The sequence below is a fragment of the Homo sapiens genome, chromosome 5 (assembly GCF_000001405.40).
Source record: "Homo sapiens chromosome 5, GRCh38.p14 Primary Assembly".
Taxonomy (NCBI): domain Eukaryota; kingdom Metazoa; phylum Chordata; class Mammalia; order Primates; family Hominidae; genus Homo; species Homo sapiens.
The window spans coordinates 100,408,050-100,426,464 of NC_000005.10; the positions used below are offsets into that span (position 1 = coordinate 100,408,050).

The 18,415-nt window shown below is 35.7% G+C and overlaps 1 long non-coding RNA gene across 12 annotated transcripts in view; it reads left to right on the forward strand.

Moving 5' to 3' along the window:
• The window catches only part of LOC105379100 (uncharacterized), a 45,227-nt gene that overhangs the window by 9,553 nt on the left and 17,259 nt on the right, over positions 1-18,415 (forward strand). For 4 of the 12 annotated variants that reach the window (XR_948626.3, XR_007058887.1, XR_948624.3 and 1 more), the window contains 2 exons: positions 11,396-11,464; positions 12,201-12,398. This is a non-coding gene — a long non-coding RNA (uncharacterized LOC105379100). Of the gene's footprint in view, positions 1-897; positions 979-11,395; positions 11,465-12,200; positions 12,399-14,414; positions 14,570-15,341; positions 15,586-18,415 lie in introns of those variants that run through there. The other 8 variants (XR_007058884.1, XR_007058886.1, XR_007058888.1 and 5 more) reach the window with 6 other exon arrangements.

Consider the following 18,415-nt stretch of genomic DNA (forward strand, 5'->3'; position numbering starts at 1 on the left):
ATAAATGACTCAAATCTTCGTAACTGACCAATGATAATGATATCTTACACCTACAACCCAAATATCCAGATAGTTGTAATGTTGGCTGGTTGATCACAAACCAATGTAATTTGATTTGACCTGGATAAATGTGTTACGATAAATTAGAAAAATCAACATCAAAATCTGCTGTTCAATCACACAACCAAAAAAAATCCAATCTGTGGCTGCAGTTAGAGTATTTTTCATGGATTGCAGTGGCACCATCATGGCTGACTGCAACCTTGGCATCCCAGGCTCAAGAGACTCTCCCAACTCAGCCTACCAAGTACTTACAAACTACAGATGTGTGCCACCATGCCTGGATAATTGTTTTTTGTTTGTTTTGCTTTGTTTTTATGTAGAGATAAGGTCTCACTATGTTGCCCAGGCTGGTCTTGAACTCCTGAGCTCAAATGATCCTCTTGCTTCAGCCTCCCAAAATGCTAGGATAACAGGCATGAGTGACCATGCCGGGCCTGCCTCTCTGATCTCACATATTTTGAGTTAGATGATAGTTTTATACACACATGTGCACATACACACACATGCACGCACATTCTCAAAAACACAAATGCTTTACTCCACTTCTTTTTACCTAATTCAGAGCACTCTTGCTGTCACCACATTTGTGCAGAAGCACCTATAACTGTGTGTTATCCTTTTGCAATGTGTGGATTTAGTTATTGGAAAATAAAAGATCATAGTTTTTTTTTAAATCTAACTTTTAGAGAGAAAATGTCATGCCTGTGGGATCTAGAAGACATACTCCTTTGTTTTTAGTTCTGCTAGTACCCTATGTGCCTTTACCAAAACCTTACTGAATGGATTTCAGAAAGTCTTTAATTGTCATCTCCTTCCCCTTTGTATTCTACAAAGTTCCCAACAATATCAATGAATAAGAAGGAAGTCTTAAGGCTCCAGGAATCCCCTCAGGGAGACTAGCTTTCAGAATTTTAGGTAAGTGGCTGACTGGACAGATGTGTAAGGTAGCATTATATTTTCCTAATAAGTGTATAATGTAGCACATTTATACTGCCCAAGAGAATGGCTAAATGTGCTTAACTAACATTACCTGTGGCTCAGTTGAAGCAATCTAGTTTTCTCTCCTAAAATACAGATCTTTTTATTTATTTATTTTTGCCAGGGGGGATAGTTCCTCAAGAAAATTCCCATTAAAATTTGCATTGTAAAAGTACAACTGAGTCAGCTGTTATACCCTTGATTGTAGAAATATAAAAGGCAAAGTCTTTGTTATCAACATATTAGAGCAATCATTATAAAACTGTTAAATCATGAGGAAAATTGACCCTGACAATTAGATCTTGAAAGAGAATTATTCCTTACATGCTTCTCATGAATTTAAAATTTCCTAAGTACTATTTTCCAAATGGTTCAGTTTTCCAGTATCTGTTAAAACACTTATTAAAACTTATTTAGAGTTTGCTTGTTTGAAATTTCCTGTTATCTATGAGGTTTTTTTTTTTCTTTTTCATTGACATAAAAATGTCCTATGTCAAATTTCAGGGGAACCACACATTATTATCTCCCAGGGCCCTTGAGAGAACGAAAGCCATCACACTAGTATTCCCCCAGTTTCCACTCTCAGATGCTTTTGAATCCTGTCATCCAAATCATCCTGGTGCTAATACATTCCCAAGCACTGAGGACTCAAAGGAGCATGATGCTTCAATGTGTTTATAGAATACATTTCATACAGACAGGCACGAAAGGAACAGTTTGCATAATCATCTGCCAAAAAGAATCCATCTGTCAGAGAACAGTGGACGCTGATATCAAACAAGTTCACATTAAAAAACAAAATCTCAATTCCCATTCTATGCACTTCATTTCCTTGAGCCTAATTATCAATATGCATATAAATGGGGAAAAATACTTCCTGGTTACACTTCACAATTCTAATCCTGGCAAGAAACAACAATAACTGCTTTACCATCATTTTGCAGGGGGCTGTACCACACAGCTGAGAATATCGGGGCTGAAAATGTCAGGCCAATTGCTATTGTAGCCAATGTGAAGTTTTACTGCTCATGACAAAAGGGGTGTGTGAACAACAAAAATATTGTCTCATCTCCTTAGTGCTAACTAATCCTGGCTGACCCCAAAGAAGAAACACAGCCCAGTTTCCCCGAAAAGCCTTCATTTAGTAGTTGCTTTCTGATAAAGTTTTAAAATTTCTGCTCAGTTAACCATGGAAGAAACACTGGTCTTCAGAGAGGAAAAAAAAAAAAATGAAAAGATAAATTTTAGAGACTAAAATAAAATCCAAATGTTCAGTAAAAATGCAAAAGCAAATTGAATTATTTGCTTCACAATTTTTTTTTTTTTGAGATGGAGTCTCGCTCTGTCACCCAGGCTGGAGTGCAGTGGCACGTTCTCGGCTCACTGTAACCTCCGCCACCCGGGTTCAAGTGATTCTCCTGCCTCAGCCTCCTGTGTAGCTGGGATTACAGGCACACACCACCACCCGCAGCTAATTTTTGTAATTTTAATAGAGACAGGGTTTCACCATATTGGCCAGGCTGGTCTCAAACTCCTGACCTCGTGATCTGCCCGTTTCAGCCTCCCAAAGTGGTGGAATTACAGGTGTGAGCCACCACGCCTGGCCTTCACAAAATATTCTTAACTTACAGAAACTATTGGTGCATATTTTTAAGAAGTGCACTCTCAAATTTTTAAATTTATTTTTGATTTTTATTTGTATTCATTTAAGGGGTATAAGTGTAATTTTGCTACATTATATGAATATATTGCATAGTGGGGAAGTCAGGGCTTTTAGTGTCTATATCACCCACATAACTTACTTTGTACTCTTTAAGAAATTCTCTGTCATCCACCCCCTACCCGTTCCTCAACCCTTCCCCACTTCCCAGCATCTGCTGCCTCTCATTCCACAATCTATGTTCACGTTATTTATTTATTTGTTTATTTATTTATTTAGAGATGGGGTCTTACTCTGTCGCCAGGCTGGAGTGCAGTGGCGCAATCTCGGCTCACTGCCACCTCTGCCTCCTGGGTTCAAGTGATTCTCCTGCCTCAGCCTCCCAAATAGCTGGGACTACAGGCGCCCGCCACCACGTCTGGCTAATTTTTTGTAATTTTAGTAGAGATGTAGTTTCACCATTTTGGCCAGAATGGTCTTAATCTCTTGACCTCGTGATCCACCCGCCTTGGCCTCCCAAAGTGCTGGGCTTACAGGAGTGAGCCAACATGCCAGGCCTCTGTTCACATTATTTATCTCCCACTTATAAATGAGATAATATGGTATTGTCTTTCTGTTTCTGAGTTGTTTCACTTAAGATAATGGCCTCCAGTTCCATTCATGTTGCTGCAAAAGACATGATTTCCTTCTTTTTATGGCTGAATAGTGTCCAGTGTGTGTGTGTGTGCGTGCGTGTGTGTGTAATCCTGTGTATACATACGCATATATATAAACACATATATATTTATGACAGTTTCTTTATCCAATCTGCCATTGATGGACACTTAGATTGATTCCATACCTTTGCTATTGTGAATATTGCTATGATAAACATACGAGTTCAGATATCTTTTGATATAATTACTTCTTTTCATTTGAGTATTTGCTGGGTCAAATGATAATTCTCCTTTTAGTTCTTTGAGAAATCTCCATACTATTTTCCACAAAGGTTGCACAAATTTACATTCCCAAATAGTATAAGCATTCTCTTTTCTCCACATGTTAACCAACATGTTATTTTTGTCCTTTTAATAATAGCCATTCTGACTGAGATGATATCTCATTATGGTTTTAATTTGCATTTATCTGATGATTAGCGATGAGCATTTTTTAATATGCTTGTCCATTTTTTGTCTTCTTTTGAAAAGTGTCTATTTATGTCCTTAGTCCACTTTTTAATGGGATTATTCATTTTTTGTTTGTTTTCTTATTTCGTTAAGTTCCTTGCACATTCTGGATATTAGTTCCTGTAAGATATAGCTTGGAAATATTGCACTGTCTCAATTTTAATATGATTTAATTACATGTAGCTTAAAAATATGAGAACTTACACAAGGAGAGGTAAATCTCTACTTTCTGAAATATGAGTTGAAAAATCATTGTGCTAAAATTATTTGAAAAAGTCAATATTTGGAAAATATTTAATTGCCAAAGCATAAATTTCTATGCTTTATGGCAGGCAATGTTCTAAGATTAGGGTTCTAGCAGTAAACAAAACTGAGAACACTTGTTTTCATGGGGCTTGTATTTTAGTGAGTAGATGTTTTTAGTAATACGATATTGGAAGTAGTTTGTTTTAATGAAAATAGTATATTTTTGAGTGTTTTTGCATATTTCCTATAAGACACTGTATGTACTTCCTTTCTCTTCCCAAAAAGAAGAAAATGCTCTTCTTTTTCATTAAAAAAATAAAATACCTGAGTCTTCAGCAACCTTCTAAATATTTCTCTAGATTTGAAGGTGGAATCTCTTGATGAAAACTGGTAGAAAGGTTTAAATTTCTAACTGCAGTTTACAAATTCTTGTGATCATAGATCATATTATTTTATCTTTTAGATATATTATTTCTGTTGAAATAACTCAGTTTATAATGTTATATTTCATTTAGTATTCATGCATTTTTTAGATTATAAAATGTTTATAAAACAGAGATTTAGGTTAGTGCAAATCATAAAAACTAGATTTGAGGGCAAACAGAGAAACAGAATTGAAGGCAAAATTTTAAGAATTCGTTAAATATGTGTCAATAAGTAGGTACATAATTTTATGCCTTTAGTTTTCCTGATTGACTAAAATTTTTCCATGACCTTCTTTGAAATTTCAATTTGAAAAATCACTGAAAGAAAAAGGAAAAGATTTCTGTGCATTTAATAAGAACCCCAATGAAAACAATTCATTTATATTTATGTAATGCTTTTCAATATTTCAATTATTTTGCATACACTTTTTGTTATGAGGACAGTCTAATGAAACAGGTTTACTTCATTAAGATTCCAATCTGTAGTTGAGATAACTAAGACTCCAATAGCTTCAATGATAAGTAATCTAACAATGAATTATTTGTGAGTTTCTCACCAAAATCTCAAGAGTTATTTTTGCTTTATTCATTGTATTGTCTTCATTAAAATGAACTTTGTCTATTATAAAAATTTTTAAAAATAAGAACTTGTCACACATTTCTATGCATGCTTATAGATACTTAAATAGGAAAAATACATTCTTCTCACTTTAGTCCATCTGTCATCCACTAAGGCATTGCTCCTCAGACGTTAATGTACATACCAATTATTTGGGGAGCTTGGTAAAAATGGAGATTCTGAACAATAATTCTGGGATGTGCCAGACATATGACTCTCTAACACGTTCCCAGGTGATGTCAATGCTGCTAGTACAGAAGTCACACTTTGAAAAGCAAGGCTGTAAAGAAGTGTTTAAAAGAAGTGTGGTTAAGGGACTAATTCTGCTACCACTGAAGATCTTCTTTTGTGTGTCCAGATAAACTTGTACCTACAAGTGTGTGAAGATTTCTCACCTATCTTCTTTCAAGCTATTTAGAATTTTACTTTCTAAAATCTCTTAAAACTTGGACTTTATTGGTGAGCTTTGTCTGCAAGGGCTAAGTAAATTAAGCATTTCCCCTATCTGGGCCATGTCTCCTTGTCCCAACTGCATGCAAAAAAACTAATATATATTCACCCCCATTGTTTTTCCACACTAAGAAAATTATATAAAATAGTATATTTAGAGATGTAAGTATATTTTTAATATATTTATTTGCTTTTTAAAAATGTGATCATATTATACATACTCTCTGCTCAGTATCTTATGGTTTTTACTTAATAGATCAAAAAGAGAAAACTTCTGAGTGAGGATTCTCTTTAATATCTTCATATTTTCCATAGTTAAATATTCCATATTTTATTTAATCATTTTCTTATAGATTAATATTTACCTTATTTTATGTTTTCCACAATCCAGTTGCAATTAACATCCTTGTAGCTATATGATTGAGGCTTGTATTTCCATAGGATATATTCACAGAAGACACGTTAAATATACACATTTACATTTCAATGCATTTCACCTAAGAGATTTCCAAGTACTGTAAAATGTACATTTCCACTAGCAATATATTGTAATGTCTTTTTTTGTTCTGTCAACATTAGTTGTTGCTGAGAGAAAAACATATTGAACATATTGTTTATTGAAATGTAATAACAATAAACTATTTTTTGCTTTAAGTTTTCAGAATGTATGGCCTTGCAGTCTTACAGTTATTAACTTAGTTGCAAATATTAATTCTAATCAATAATAGGTATATTAACTTTGTTTATACTGTATTTTGTGAATCAGCATATGTTTAAAACTTTAGGTCAGGCTGTGGTGGCTCACACCTGTAAACCTAGCACTTTGGGAGGCTAAGTCTGGAGGATTGCTTGAGCCCAGGAGTTTGAGAGCAGCCAAGGCAACATAGCATGAAGCCATCTATACAAAATAAAACTTTATATAGTTAAATATGTCTACCTTTATGTTTTTCATAGTTTCTAGGTTTGTTGACATGGTTATAAGCTTTTTCCAACTAATAGTATGTTTGTTTAATCTCTTACATCTTATTTTAACATACTTAGTTTTTACCCTTAATTTACATTTATGTAAAATGTGTTTGTATAAGTAGCATGGCTTAATCATCTGTATTTTCTCCCACTTGGAATGGTATTTTGGTCAACATATTTGTTAAATCAGTCATGTTTCCACAAAATTAAAATACACCACTGTCAAACATAAAATTTTTAACGATGCATGCACTAGAATCCATTTGTTTCACTCTTGGATTACTTTATTCTTATAGCAAAGGCAATTTAAAATTCTGGTGGTTTTGCATTGTTTTACTATAAGTCTATTATTCTGTAACTATTCTACTTTGTTATAAGTGACCTGGGTATTCTCAGGCATTTATTTTTCAAATGGAATTTGAGATCTTTTTACCTAACCAAAGAAATAACACATGTGATTCCAATGGAAATTACATTAAATGTATAATATAATTCAGAAAGAACTGACAATTTTATTGTATTAATCTTCCTATCAAAAGCACAGCATGTCATTCTATTATTCATATTTTCTTTTGCATTAAGATTAAGCAGTTTTCAAAATATAGCATAACACTAGATAGACTTGATCTATTTTCTTATGCAGTGCTTGCTTTTATATATTTCATTGTTATTATAGTTTTTCACTTCTATATTTTGTTGACTTACTCAAGATGCTACAAATTGCATTTTAATTTTCCCTTTGGGTACTTCTGCTTCTATTTATGACAGATTACTTGTATTAGACCAACTTATCCTTTCAAGAAGAAATAAAACCACTGTAAGAAATGCCAAAGACTGCTCATTAAATGTGATAGAGTGCAGTTAAGAAAGCCTGAATTTTATAGGGCCAAGATCATGGAGAGAAAAGTATTGACATGAGCCAGACATTCTCTGCCACTTTTCCTTCCAAATATTTGTTGATTAATAACAATAGAAAACTTAGCAAACAGGCAGAAACTGTGGTTCAGAATTTATGGTGGTCTCGTGGGGTTAGGGGGCTAAAAAATTTCAATGCAAGCCTACAAACTGTGTTAATACTAGAAGAGAAAGATCCTGTGGAAGAGGGAACTGCGGAAAAATGAGCTTGCCTTTCTGTGCTGTTTTTATCCTTGAGGCATTAGCAATTTCATACAGTCATAGGGAAAAGGCTAAGAAATTGAGGGAACACATATTCAGGATCTCAATTAGGTATCAGCAATTTAGGATACCCAAATTAAATTCATCCCAACACCTGTTTTTGTAAATAAAGTTTTATTGGAACAAAGACACAGCCATTTATATATGTGCTGTCTGACCTACAAAGCCTAAAATATTAATCATTTGGCCATTCAAAGGAAAAGTGTGCTGACTCCTGTTTCAACCCAACATTTTGATTGCAGAAAGGAGTTTCTTAGCAAGTGTGTTAGGAAAAGAGGCGTACCGTAGGACTGCCTAACAAAAAGCCAATAGGAAATTGGCTAACCTTCACAAAGACTGAAATATTCTATCCCTATTTAGACCAGGAAAAGTTTATCTTTCTTCAAAATGTAAAATATATTTCCAGGAATACCAGAAGGTAGAATAGAAATGATAGAAATTAAAAAGAAAAAAAATCAGACAAAAGAAACAAAGGCAGAGATGATGAACGTATAAGAATTCTAGACACAAATTTTAAAATTACTGTGTTAATATATTCCAGAGAAAATGGAAAAACTGAAGATTCATACCAGAAAACCGGAATCCCTAAAAATAGAAAATCTTGGAAATGCTAAGTCTGAGAAACACAGCTAACTGAAATTAAACATGTAGTGAGTAAATTAAAAGTAGCATAATAAACAGAAGACAAGCAAGGTAGAAGATAGTAGAGAAACATCCAGGAAAATAAAGAAAAGAACAAAAGAGCTAATGGTCTGTCATTCGTCTAAGTGAATTTGCAATAGAGAGAAGAGAAGTAATAGGAAAGAATGGTAACTGAAGAAATATTGGTTGTGAACTTCTCAAATGTGATCATCAAGCCACAGATGTAAAATGTTTATTGCTTTTGTTTAAAATACAATTTTTGAGGCCGGGCGCGGTGGCTCACGCCTGTAATCCCAGCACTTTGGGAGGCCGAGGCGGGTGGATCATGAGGTCAGGAGATCGAGACCATCCTGGCTAACAAGGTGAAACCCCGTCTCTACTAAAAATACAAAAAATTAGCCGGGCGCGGTGGCGGGCGCCTGTAGTCCCAGCTACTCGGGAGGCTGAGGCAGGAGAATGGCCTGAACCCGGGAGGCGGAGCTTGCAGTGAGCCGAGATTGCGCCACTGCAGTCCGCAGTCCGGCCTGGGCGACAGGGCGAGACTCCGTCTCAAAAAAAAAAAAAAAAAAAAAAAAAAAAAAAAAAATACAATTTTTGAAGTTAAATTGAAACTGTTACTTCTATTGAAAATATTCTTCTCCTAACAGCAGTCTTATTTGTGTCTGTTCTCCTTCTTTTGCTTTTTCTGTCTGATGGGTTGCCTTCTCTTGTTTTCTCATTAAAGCTCATTCCTAATACTGGAGTGACATGGCAGTGATGTGGAGAGAGGTGCAAAACAATGTATTCCTTGCCTAAGAAGAGACAACAGTCAAGTTTTCAGTTTCATGTTACTCTAATTTTTAGGGTACAGAGAGCTCAACATACATGCCAGTGTTTTGTCCCACACCTCCTCTGGTGCAGAGGACCAGCTAGTCCTCCATGAAACACTCAAAAAAAAGATGCAGTCTCTCCCAATATGAGGGATGGGATCCAGGATATCCACAGGCTGGGTTCTCTTTGGAGTCCATCTGATTTCTTTACATCTTCATCATAAACTTCCCTCCACTTGTTCCAAAGTGACATAAAGCCCAGTGGGGAAAATTAATACACCAACCCTCTCTTTGAGACTGCACTTAAATCTGAGGCCTTGCTACCAGACCCTAAGCCTCAGCAGCTCTGTGGCAAGTGAGAGATAAAGTAGCTTAGTGGCAATTAGGATAATGACAGCAGGGCAGTAAGTTTTGAAGCTGCCATCATTTTTTATTCTTGTAAACTTGCTTCTTTAAAAATGTATTTAAATATACTGTTTCTTCAGAAATATTTATTCTTCCAAAAGCCTTTTTTAGACATACCCAATTCTAAAGGAAATTTCATGCAACTGAAATAAAAGCCAAGAACAGATGACTATTCTTATATGATAGTTAAACCAAACAGATCATTAGGGGTAACACCACTATAATATTTTTTTTCTTTTCATGTGCCAAATAGTTATGTGCAGAATATAATTTGACTAATAGTATCTCCTTTTGAATGTACTCCATAAAAATCTATTGTAGAATCCAGGCCAAAATAATTATGTATTTAGACACATCGATTTCAATAGGAAGTTATGAAAATAGAATCATTTCTTCTTTTAAGCATAGATTTGATTTATTTTTCATATTTTTTAAATTCCTCATGAGATTAAAAAATGATAACTGTAAATTTCTGAGCCAACTGACTTGATCAGGGAGGTATGACGTTGAACATTATATAGGAAATTGCACAGAGATATGTTCAATATACTTTATATTAAAAATGCCACTTTTCCAATGATTATATCATAAATAGAAGTAAATACATAGATTATCAAACATTCAGCAGTCAAGAACTCCCCATGGGCCAAATATATTGATTTACTAGGATGGAAGTTCTTTTCTTGTTTTCTGGATTTCAAATGACACTGCACTGGCAGCAAACAAAGCTGAACCAAATTAACACTGAACAATGAAGAAAAATGAGTCTGGCATCTTAGCCCAGGGGATTTTGCCAAGGGAACATAGTTTCTTTCCCGATTTCTAAATGATTTCTATTTTCAGAGGACAAAATGAATCTCCTATTTCACACTAGTAAAAAAAAAATTGGAATCAAGAAAAATTAAATGAATTTAAGGAGAAATGCTAATTATAATAATCCATATTTATATAATAAATGTATATCTCAGTGTACTATGATAAAAGTCATAATACTTTTGATTTATCAATATAAAATATATATGCAAGGTGGCAAGTAATTACCTGAGGCAAACTTGCATTTGTAGGTAGTATTGTTAGAAGAATTTCAAATACTGATTATCCATGATTGTTCAGATACAGAGATGCACTCACAGAATCCCCACCAACCACTGAATTATGCCCAGTGTCAGTGTTAAAAGGACTTCCAAGAGATACTGCAATAACTGAATTATACAAATGAGGGAATGGAGAACAAAAGAGATGGAACTATTAACTTTTAGTCACCTCTTGATAGAGTTGGAGATCTCAGGTTTCCAGACTTCTACAGAAGGGAACATATTATTATGTCCATTTAATGACCAGATATCAACTAATATTCAATAGGAACAGCTGGAATTTTCTCACGTCTACTTACTATAAATTTTAGGTATATTTTTCACTCAATTTTATGACCTTTAAAGAAGACAATTATCTATCAAATTATCTGGAGTAGAAAGAGGGAAATATATTGTTACAGGAGATAGAAAGAAATTATTTGGGTAGACAGGGCAAAGGGAGTCCTTGGCAGAAAACTTTCCTTCAAACTAAAAGCAGCTCTGAAGTAGCTTTCTTTCTAACCTCATGCAGTTCAAAGAAATCACTTCTCTTCTAACAAAGAGCAACCTGAAAGATCAGGCTGTAAAAACACAGATAAACAACTGGGGCACAGAAGGAGGTGGGGGAGTCTCCCAGTTAATCACGAAACTACATACTCATAAAATGGGCCCCAGTAAAAACACTGGGACTTAATAAGCACATTTCTTTCCCTACAGGCACACTAAGATATGGAAGCTAAAAGAGGACTAAGAGGATTCTGGGGATATTACAAGATATTGCAGACTGTGAGTACCTGGGTACAGGAAAATGGCTTACCCTTTGTACCACCTCATAAGAGAAAGTCAAACAGTTAAAACTCACCCCCACCCCCTTTTGGGGGAACCTAAGGCTCAAAAAGCCTTTAACCAGCTAAAGTGTACCTTACTTAAAACACCAGCCCTCAGTCATCCCATAGGGAAAACTTTCAGTCTCTATGTATCGGAAAGGAAGGAAATAGCCCTGGAAGTTTAAGCTAAGGCTTGAGGTCCAACTCAACAGCCAGTAGGTTGCTTGAGCAAGGAACATAACTGGTGTCTAAAGGATGGTCAGCCTGCCTCCAAGCAGTTACAGTGGTGGCTTTTCTGGTACCAGAGGCTACTGACTTAACCATGGGGAATAACAACTGTGTGCACCCCACACAGTATAGCAGGACTGCTGTCCTTTAAGGAAAGGCTCTGGCTACTGTAAAATCGCCTCCTCAAATACCAAACTTTTCTGCTAAAGGGATTTGCAGTCCACTCGAAAACCTGTCCTTGCCTGAGCCCAGCCACTTTCTCCCAGAGAAAACTGGAGAACCTGAACATGACTGTGAACAGGCAGTGGAGCAAACTGGTAAAAGAAATAATAAGAATCACTGTTCGCATTCTCTGTAAAGATTTAATTAATGAAAAATGATTGTCTTAAAGGGTGCTCAGCTTAAGTGAAAGTAGATATCCAAGTTATGAGTATATTTAAAAGGCCTTTATGTTTTTCTCTTCACAGATCTTGTTTTCCTGGAAAAGGATTTTACCTCAGTCGACTGAATTACTTTTTTCACTGTGTCTTGCCACTCTTCGTGCATGCATCAAAGACCCTAATATGACTTCTGGTGGCCTGGGACTCCTTGGGAAAACAGAAAAGGGGCCACAAATCCCATTTTGGGAACAATCTGTTTTACTCATGGAACCCCTGGAATTAGAGGTGTGTAAGTACCTCTCAAAATCTGTCTTTGTCTTCTGGCTATGCTTTTTATGAGGCCCTGGAATTTGTAGTCCTAGCCCTGTTCTTAGAGTGTCTCACTAGGAGGCGTAATAATCCAATTAGGAAACTAGCCAATGAAAAATCTCATAACTACTGGATCTTCTTCTGTTTATCTGTGTGGTTACATATGTGTTATGTGTGTAATATCTATTAAAAAGGGCTCTAATTAATTGGCCTAAGAACAGTAAGCACTTAAATAAAATATTTTTAAGGGAAAAGTAAAAGCTGTGTTACTTTTCAGTTCACATGACTTTAATCTTTACAAATAAAAAGTCCTAGAAATTATTGGTAAAATACAAATGTCTTCAAGGTGTAAAAATGTGGTCTAAATTATGCAGGCCAGATACTAGGTTTGCTAAATGTTTTAAGGTTGTAAACTCTTCTTTGGCCTTTAAAAACTGTCAACTCACCTGCCTCACAATTGGTAAGGCCTGGGAACATAGGGAAGTTACCATGCCCGTAACTATCCTAAAAGGAGTCAAACTTTATCTGCATCTAGCACATAATTAAAACAACCTATCAGATTTCACAGTAAAGTTGAAAATTTCTAAGAGTTACCATTATGACATGTAATTGAAATTACTAAAAAGAAATCTACCTGCAAGGTGTATAAAAAACAGTAAAATGTGTTTTTATTTAAAGATTATAAGAAAGCATGGAAATATACATTTTATCTAGAAATAAAGGATTGTCTTTTTAAAGTAGAAAGTTTAAGCAAATTGTGAAAAGACTGTAAAAATTAATCTTTCAAAGGAAACTCTGTGTGTGAACATATTAACTAAATACAAAAGGGTATTATACTTTTTTTTCTGTAAACACTATAATAAAAGCAGAACAAGGTTTTCTTAAGATGCCAATCCACTCTTTAGCAAAATTTGTAGAGGTTAATAAAAGGTTTGTGAAAATCTCACTTCATAGTCAAACTGGTTAAGATTATGTAGGATTGTCTACAAGGTTTCATTAAAAATTAGAGTTAATTTTAATAGCAAACTAATGCATGGGTAAAATTTAACTTTCTCTCTTGAATGGGATTTTCATGTAATTAAAAATGCTGATGAATGGTTTTTGCTTTTTCAGATTTTTGTCTCATCATTTTGGCAAAACAAATAACTTATGGTAATCTAAAATTCTACTTCATAATATCAAGTGTTTTAAATTCTGAACATATTTAACAGGCTTCCTAAAATCAAACTTTAGTCTCAGGGTTGTCTTTCCTGACCCCTAGCTTTTGGGTGCTGCAGAGCACCCCTGGAGCATCTGGAAAAGAGGTAAACAGGATTATTTAACATGTTTAGGCACATGGAATTGCCAAAATGATGTTTAATACTCTTCAGGTTATATTCTAGGGAATAATATCAACATATGTTCCAAAATGGTCTGGGCTGTCTAAGGTTCTATTGTCTGAATATGTGCTATTAATCACAATTAAGGTTATTATGTTGGGTTATTGTAAGCCATGGAAATAACCAAATTTGTCAATCATGTTCTTGACTGTAACCACCCTGAACATTTTGTCATTTATAGACATTTGTCTTGTTTTAATTGTCTTCAAAAGATGGTTTATAATCAAGCTGTGGAACTTTAACAGGTGCTCTTCAATGCAGGTTTCTGATAACAGAAAAATGTACAGGACTCATAAAAAGCTAAAATGTTTAGGAATATCAAGCAGAACAAGAGTTAACAGAATGGAATGAACTAATAGAAAATTAAAGCAATATTCTTAATTTATGCTTGGAACACTGCTGATTATTATTTTGTTTTTCAAAGTCAAGGAAACTTTCTTAAAGGCTTTTAACAACTAAACAAGTTATACTCCTGTGAACGATATTTAAAACGTGTTTGTTTCTCTGTGCCTAGTTCCTCTAGAATTTGGAAACTAGTTGTAAGTATTCTTGAATTACAACAATATAGGTGTTTGCATCAGTACAACAAGTATCCATTTTCTTTTGCAACAAGATACAACTGGAGAAACTGTTCTGTGGAGGCTTTGAGTGGAAGGGTGTGCTTCCCTTTAAGGAATCAAGCTTGATTTGCAAAGCCAATAAAACCCCCTTAAGAAAACTGGCCTCCTACCTGTCTACACAGTCTCTGTACAAGATTACTGACCTGTGGTGAGCAAAAAAATGTCACTTTCTAACAGACCTAGGAACTCCATGCTTCTAAAATCTCAGGAAGAAAAAAGTTTATCCAACTCACAGTTATTTGTAGATACAAACCCATGGCTGGGCTTGGTTTTAAAAAGTCCGATCTGAAATTCCTTGTGGAACAGAGAGTTCCATCAAAGCCAATCAAAAAGGCCTATATAGAGGTGATTATTCTTGCTTCATTTTATGCAAATAATCAGGCCAAGTATACAACTAAAGTTTACTTTGCAAACAGCTAAGTCCTATCATAAGTTGTTTTTTAACAAAATGAGGACTAGAGAGACAGAAATTATGTTTCAAAATTTATCATACATCTGTCATTGGATTCAAGTCTCATTAGTCATTTTTAAATTCTTGTCTACATTTTAAACTAACCATGCTAATTCTTGTAATCCAACCACATCTCCAGCTGTGGCTCAAACAAAACAGAAAGTGATAGGTAATGTAAAAATCTCGAACAATGTTCTGGCTGGGCAATTATCCTATAAATCTTGCTAGGTAGCCTATAACCCCAAGGTTTTCTTTTTTTGGGAAAGTAAGATCAAGAAAGTTTAAAAAAGCCTAGCCCCATACACTCACTTAAAACAGCACAACCCATCTAAATGGCTTACAGGTATCAAATAAACTCTGTTGTCATGGTTATGGCCTATAGTGCCCCCACTAATAATGGTAGTCTTAATACTCATATTTTAACCCTATATTCTAAACCTCCTTGTAAAGTTTACTTCTTCTCACCTAGAAACCATCAAGCTTTAAATGGTGTGGCAAAAGGAGCTGAAAATTAAACTGACCTTCTACTGCATACCCTTAAATTGACCCAGGAGGAGCCCTAGCTGCTATTCCCATGCCACGCCCCTCTCCAGCAGGAAGTAGCCAGAGTAAGTCGACGCCCAATTCCCCGTAACAGCAGTTAGGAATTTCATTCCTGAGGGGGGTGTTTGTTATAGGAGATAAAAATAAATTATTTGGGTAGACAGAGTAAAGAGAGTCCCCGGCAGAATACTTTCCTTCTAACAAAAAGCAGCTCAGAAATGGCTCCCTTTCTAACCTTGTGAAGTTCAAAGAAATCATTTCTCTTCTAACAAAGAACAACCTGAAAGGCTGTAAAAACACAGATAAACGGCCGGGCGCGGTGGCTCACGCCTGTAATCCCAGCACTTTGGGAGGCCGAGACGGGCGGATCACGAGGTCAGGAGATCGAGACCATCCTGGCTAACACGGTGAAACCCCGTCTCTACTAAAAATACAAAAATTAGCCGGGCATGGTGGCGCGCGCCTGTAGTCCCAGCTACACGGGAGGCTGAGGCAGGAGAATGGCGTGAACCCGGGAGGCGGAGCTTGCAGTGAGTCGAGATCGCGCCACTGCACTCCAGCCTGGGCGACAGAGCGAAACTCCGCCTCAAAAAAAAAAAAAAAAAAAAAAAAAAACACAGATAAACAACTTGGGCACAGAAAGAGGTGGGGGAGTCTCCTCGGTAATCACCAAACTTCACATTCATAAAATGGGCCCTAGTAAAAACAATGGGCCTTAATAACCACATTCCTTTCCCTTTAAGCACACTAAGATAAGGAAGCTAAAAGCAGGGGGGCAGGGGAGGATCCCTGCAGCTGTGCAAGAAGATGAGAAGATGTCTGGAACAGACACAGAAACTCTCCCTCCCAGATAAGCAAAATAGAGCAGCAGAAACTAAGAGTCTACCTATGTAATCAAGGAATTGGGTGAGAGCTGATAGAAAACTCTGTGCTATGCACATAGCACACCTGATTCCAACTAAATCTTCAGGCCTTAGGAAGATAAGACACCCCTCCTCACTAGCCCATTTATAAAATCCCTGACTTTTTACTACAACTTGGAAACCCACTCAGGACCCCTCCCTGTGACAGAGAGCTGTTCTTTCCTTTTGCCTATTAAGCTCCTGCTCCAATCTCACTCTACGTGTGTGTGTGTGTCCATGACCTTGATTTCCTTGGCCATGAGACCAAGAACCCTGGTATTTACCCCAGACAACAAGGCTGCTTCAGTATGACTGAGAACTTCCAGGTGTTGGAGAAATGAAAAATTTGCTGGGTAAAAGTAATAAACCTGATCTCCAACATGTTAAGTATAAAATGTCAACAAAATAGCATTTACTTGAGTGCACAATGGAGAAAAGAAACAAATAGTCTCAATAGGTTAAAAGCAATGGATTTAATAACATATAAGGCCTATATAGAGGTGATTAAATCTTAATAGGACTTGTTAGGAAAAACAGGACAGAAGAGCAAGTGAAAGGGGTCTGATGGCACTCACTCCGTAGCGATATCCCGGATGAGCCCCCAAGATGTGTCCAGAATTGGTTACTGCTGGTGGGTTCGTGGTCTAGCTGACTTCATGAATGAAGCTGCAGACCTTCACAGTGAGTGATTAATAGGATTAAGTTTAAAGTTTTTAATGTCTGTCTGAATAAATGCATTTCCCTACACAATACAAAACATAAACTAAACATCTGAGAGCATACTTCAAAAGCTGTGACAGTGAGAAATGAAACATAAAGTTATTTTTAAGTGAGCAGAAGTTGGTTTTTTCATTATAAAAAATGTATTTTGAAAAGTAGATTGAAGAAGATGTGTTATAAATAAACAAAACAATACTAACACTATTTAAGTTCAATTAAATTCTAAATGGATTCCCCTTTTAAGGGAGCTTAACATATGCAATTGAGAGGTGAGGCAAGCTGGACTTCCTGGGTCGAGTGGGGACTTGGGGAACTTTCCTGTCTTACAAGAGGATTGTAAAATGCACCAATCAGCACTCTGTAAAATGCACCAATCAGCAGGATTCTAAAAGTAGCCGATCGTGGGGAAAATTGAAAAATGGGCACTCTGATAGGACAGAAGCAGAACATGAGAGGGGACAATAAGGGAATAAAATCTGGCCACCCCAGCCAGCAGTGGAAACCCACTCAGGTCCCCTTCCACACTGTAGAAGCTTTGTCCTTTTGCTCTTCACAATAAACCTTGCTACCGCTCACTTTTTGGGTCCTCGCTATCTTTAAGAGCTGTAACTCTTACCGCGAAGGTCTGCGGCTTCATTCTTGAAATAGCAAAACCACAAACTCACCAGTAGGAACCAATTCCAGACATGCATGACAATGCAGTAGGCAATTATCAAAGAAGGTGTAAGCTGTGCATTGGAATTTCCACAACTATTCTGAAATATACAAAGCAGTTTTCATATAAAGACAATGGACAGAGGTTTGAAATCAAGCCTGTAAACAACTTATGATAGAAAAGCATTTTGTCTTTTAGGAAACATGGTGAGCTAATTTTTCATCTATGAACAAAGAACATTAAAATATGAATGACATAATACCAATTCTTGAACCATACGAATATTTTGCTTTCATCTTTATTTCACATTACTTTAGTTTATTTGAAATAAATATTTCAGCAACATTGGAAATGACTTTATTTTTTCAAAGTTCATTTATAAATCTGTGATCATTTTAAAAACTACATTTTTGAAATTACTATAAGTTCTGTGAAAAAATTAGACATTATCCTTGCCATCAATAAGGTCACATTCTCGTTGGAAAGGTAGAACTTACCAAATTAATAGTTTATACTTACTAAATCACTGAAAGACTTCCTGATTAAATGATGGACTAAATTGAGAAAAATAATCTAGAACCAGATTATTTAAAAAATTACACAAATCAGACATGAATTTAAATTTAATATGATAGGCAACATAAAGATATTATAAGCTTTTGAACAGAGAAATTATTTTTCTCCTATTATATGTCAAGACAAAATTAGTTTTGAGAAGATCAA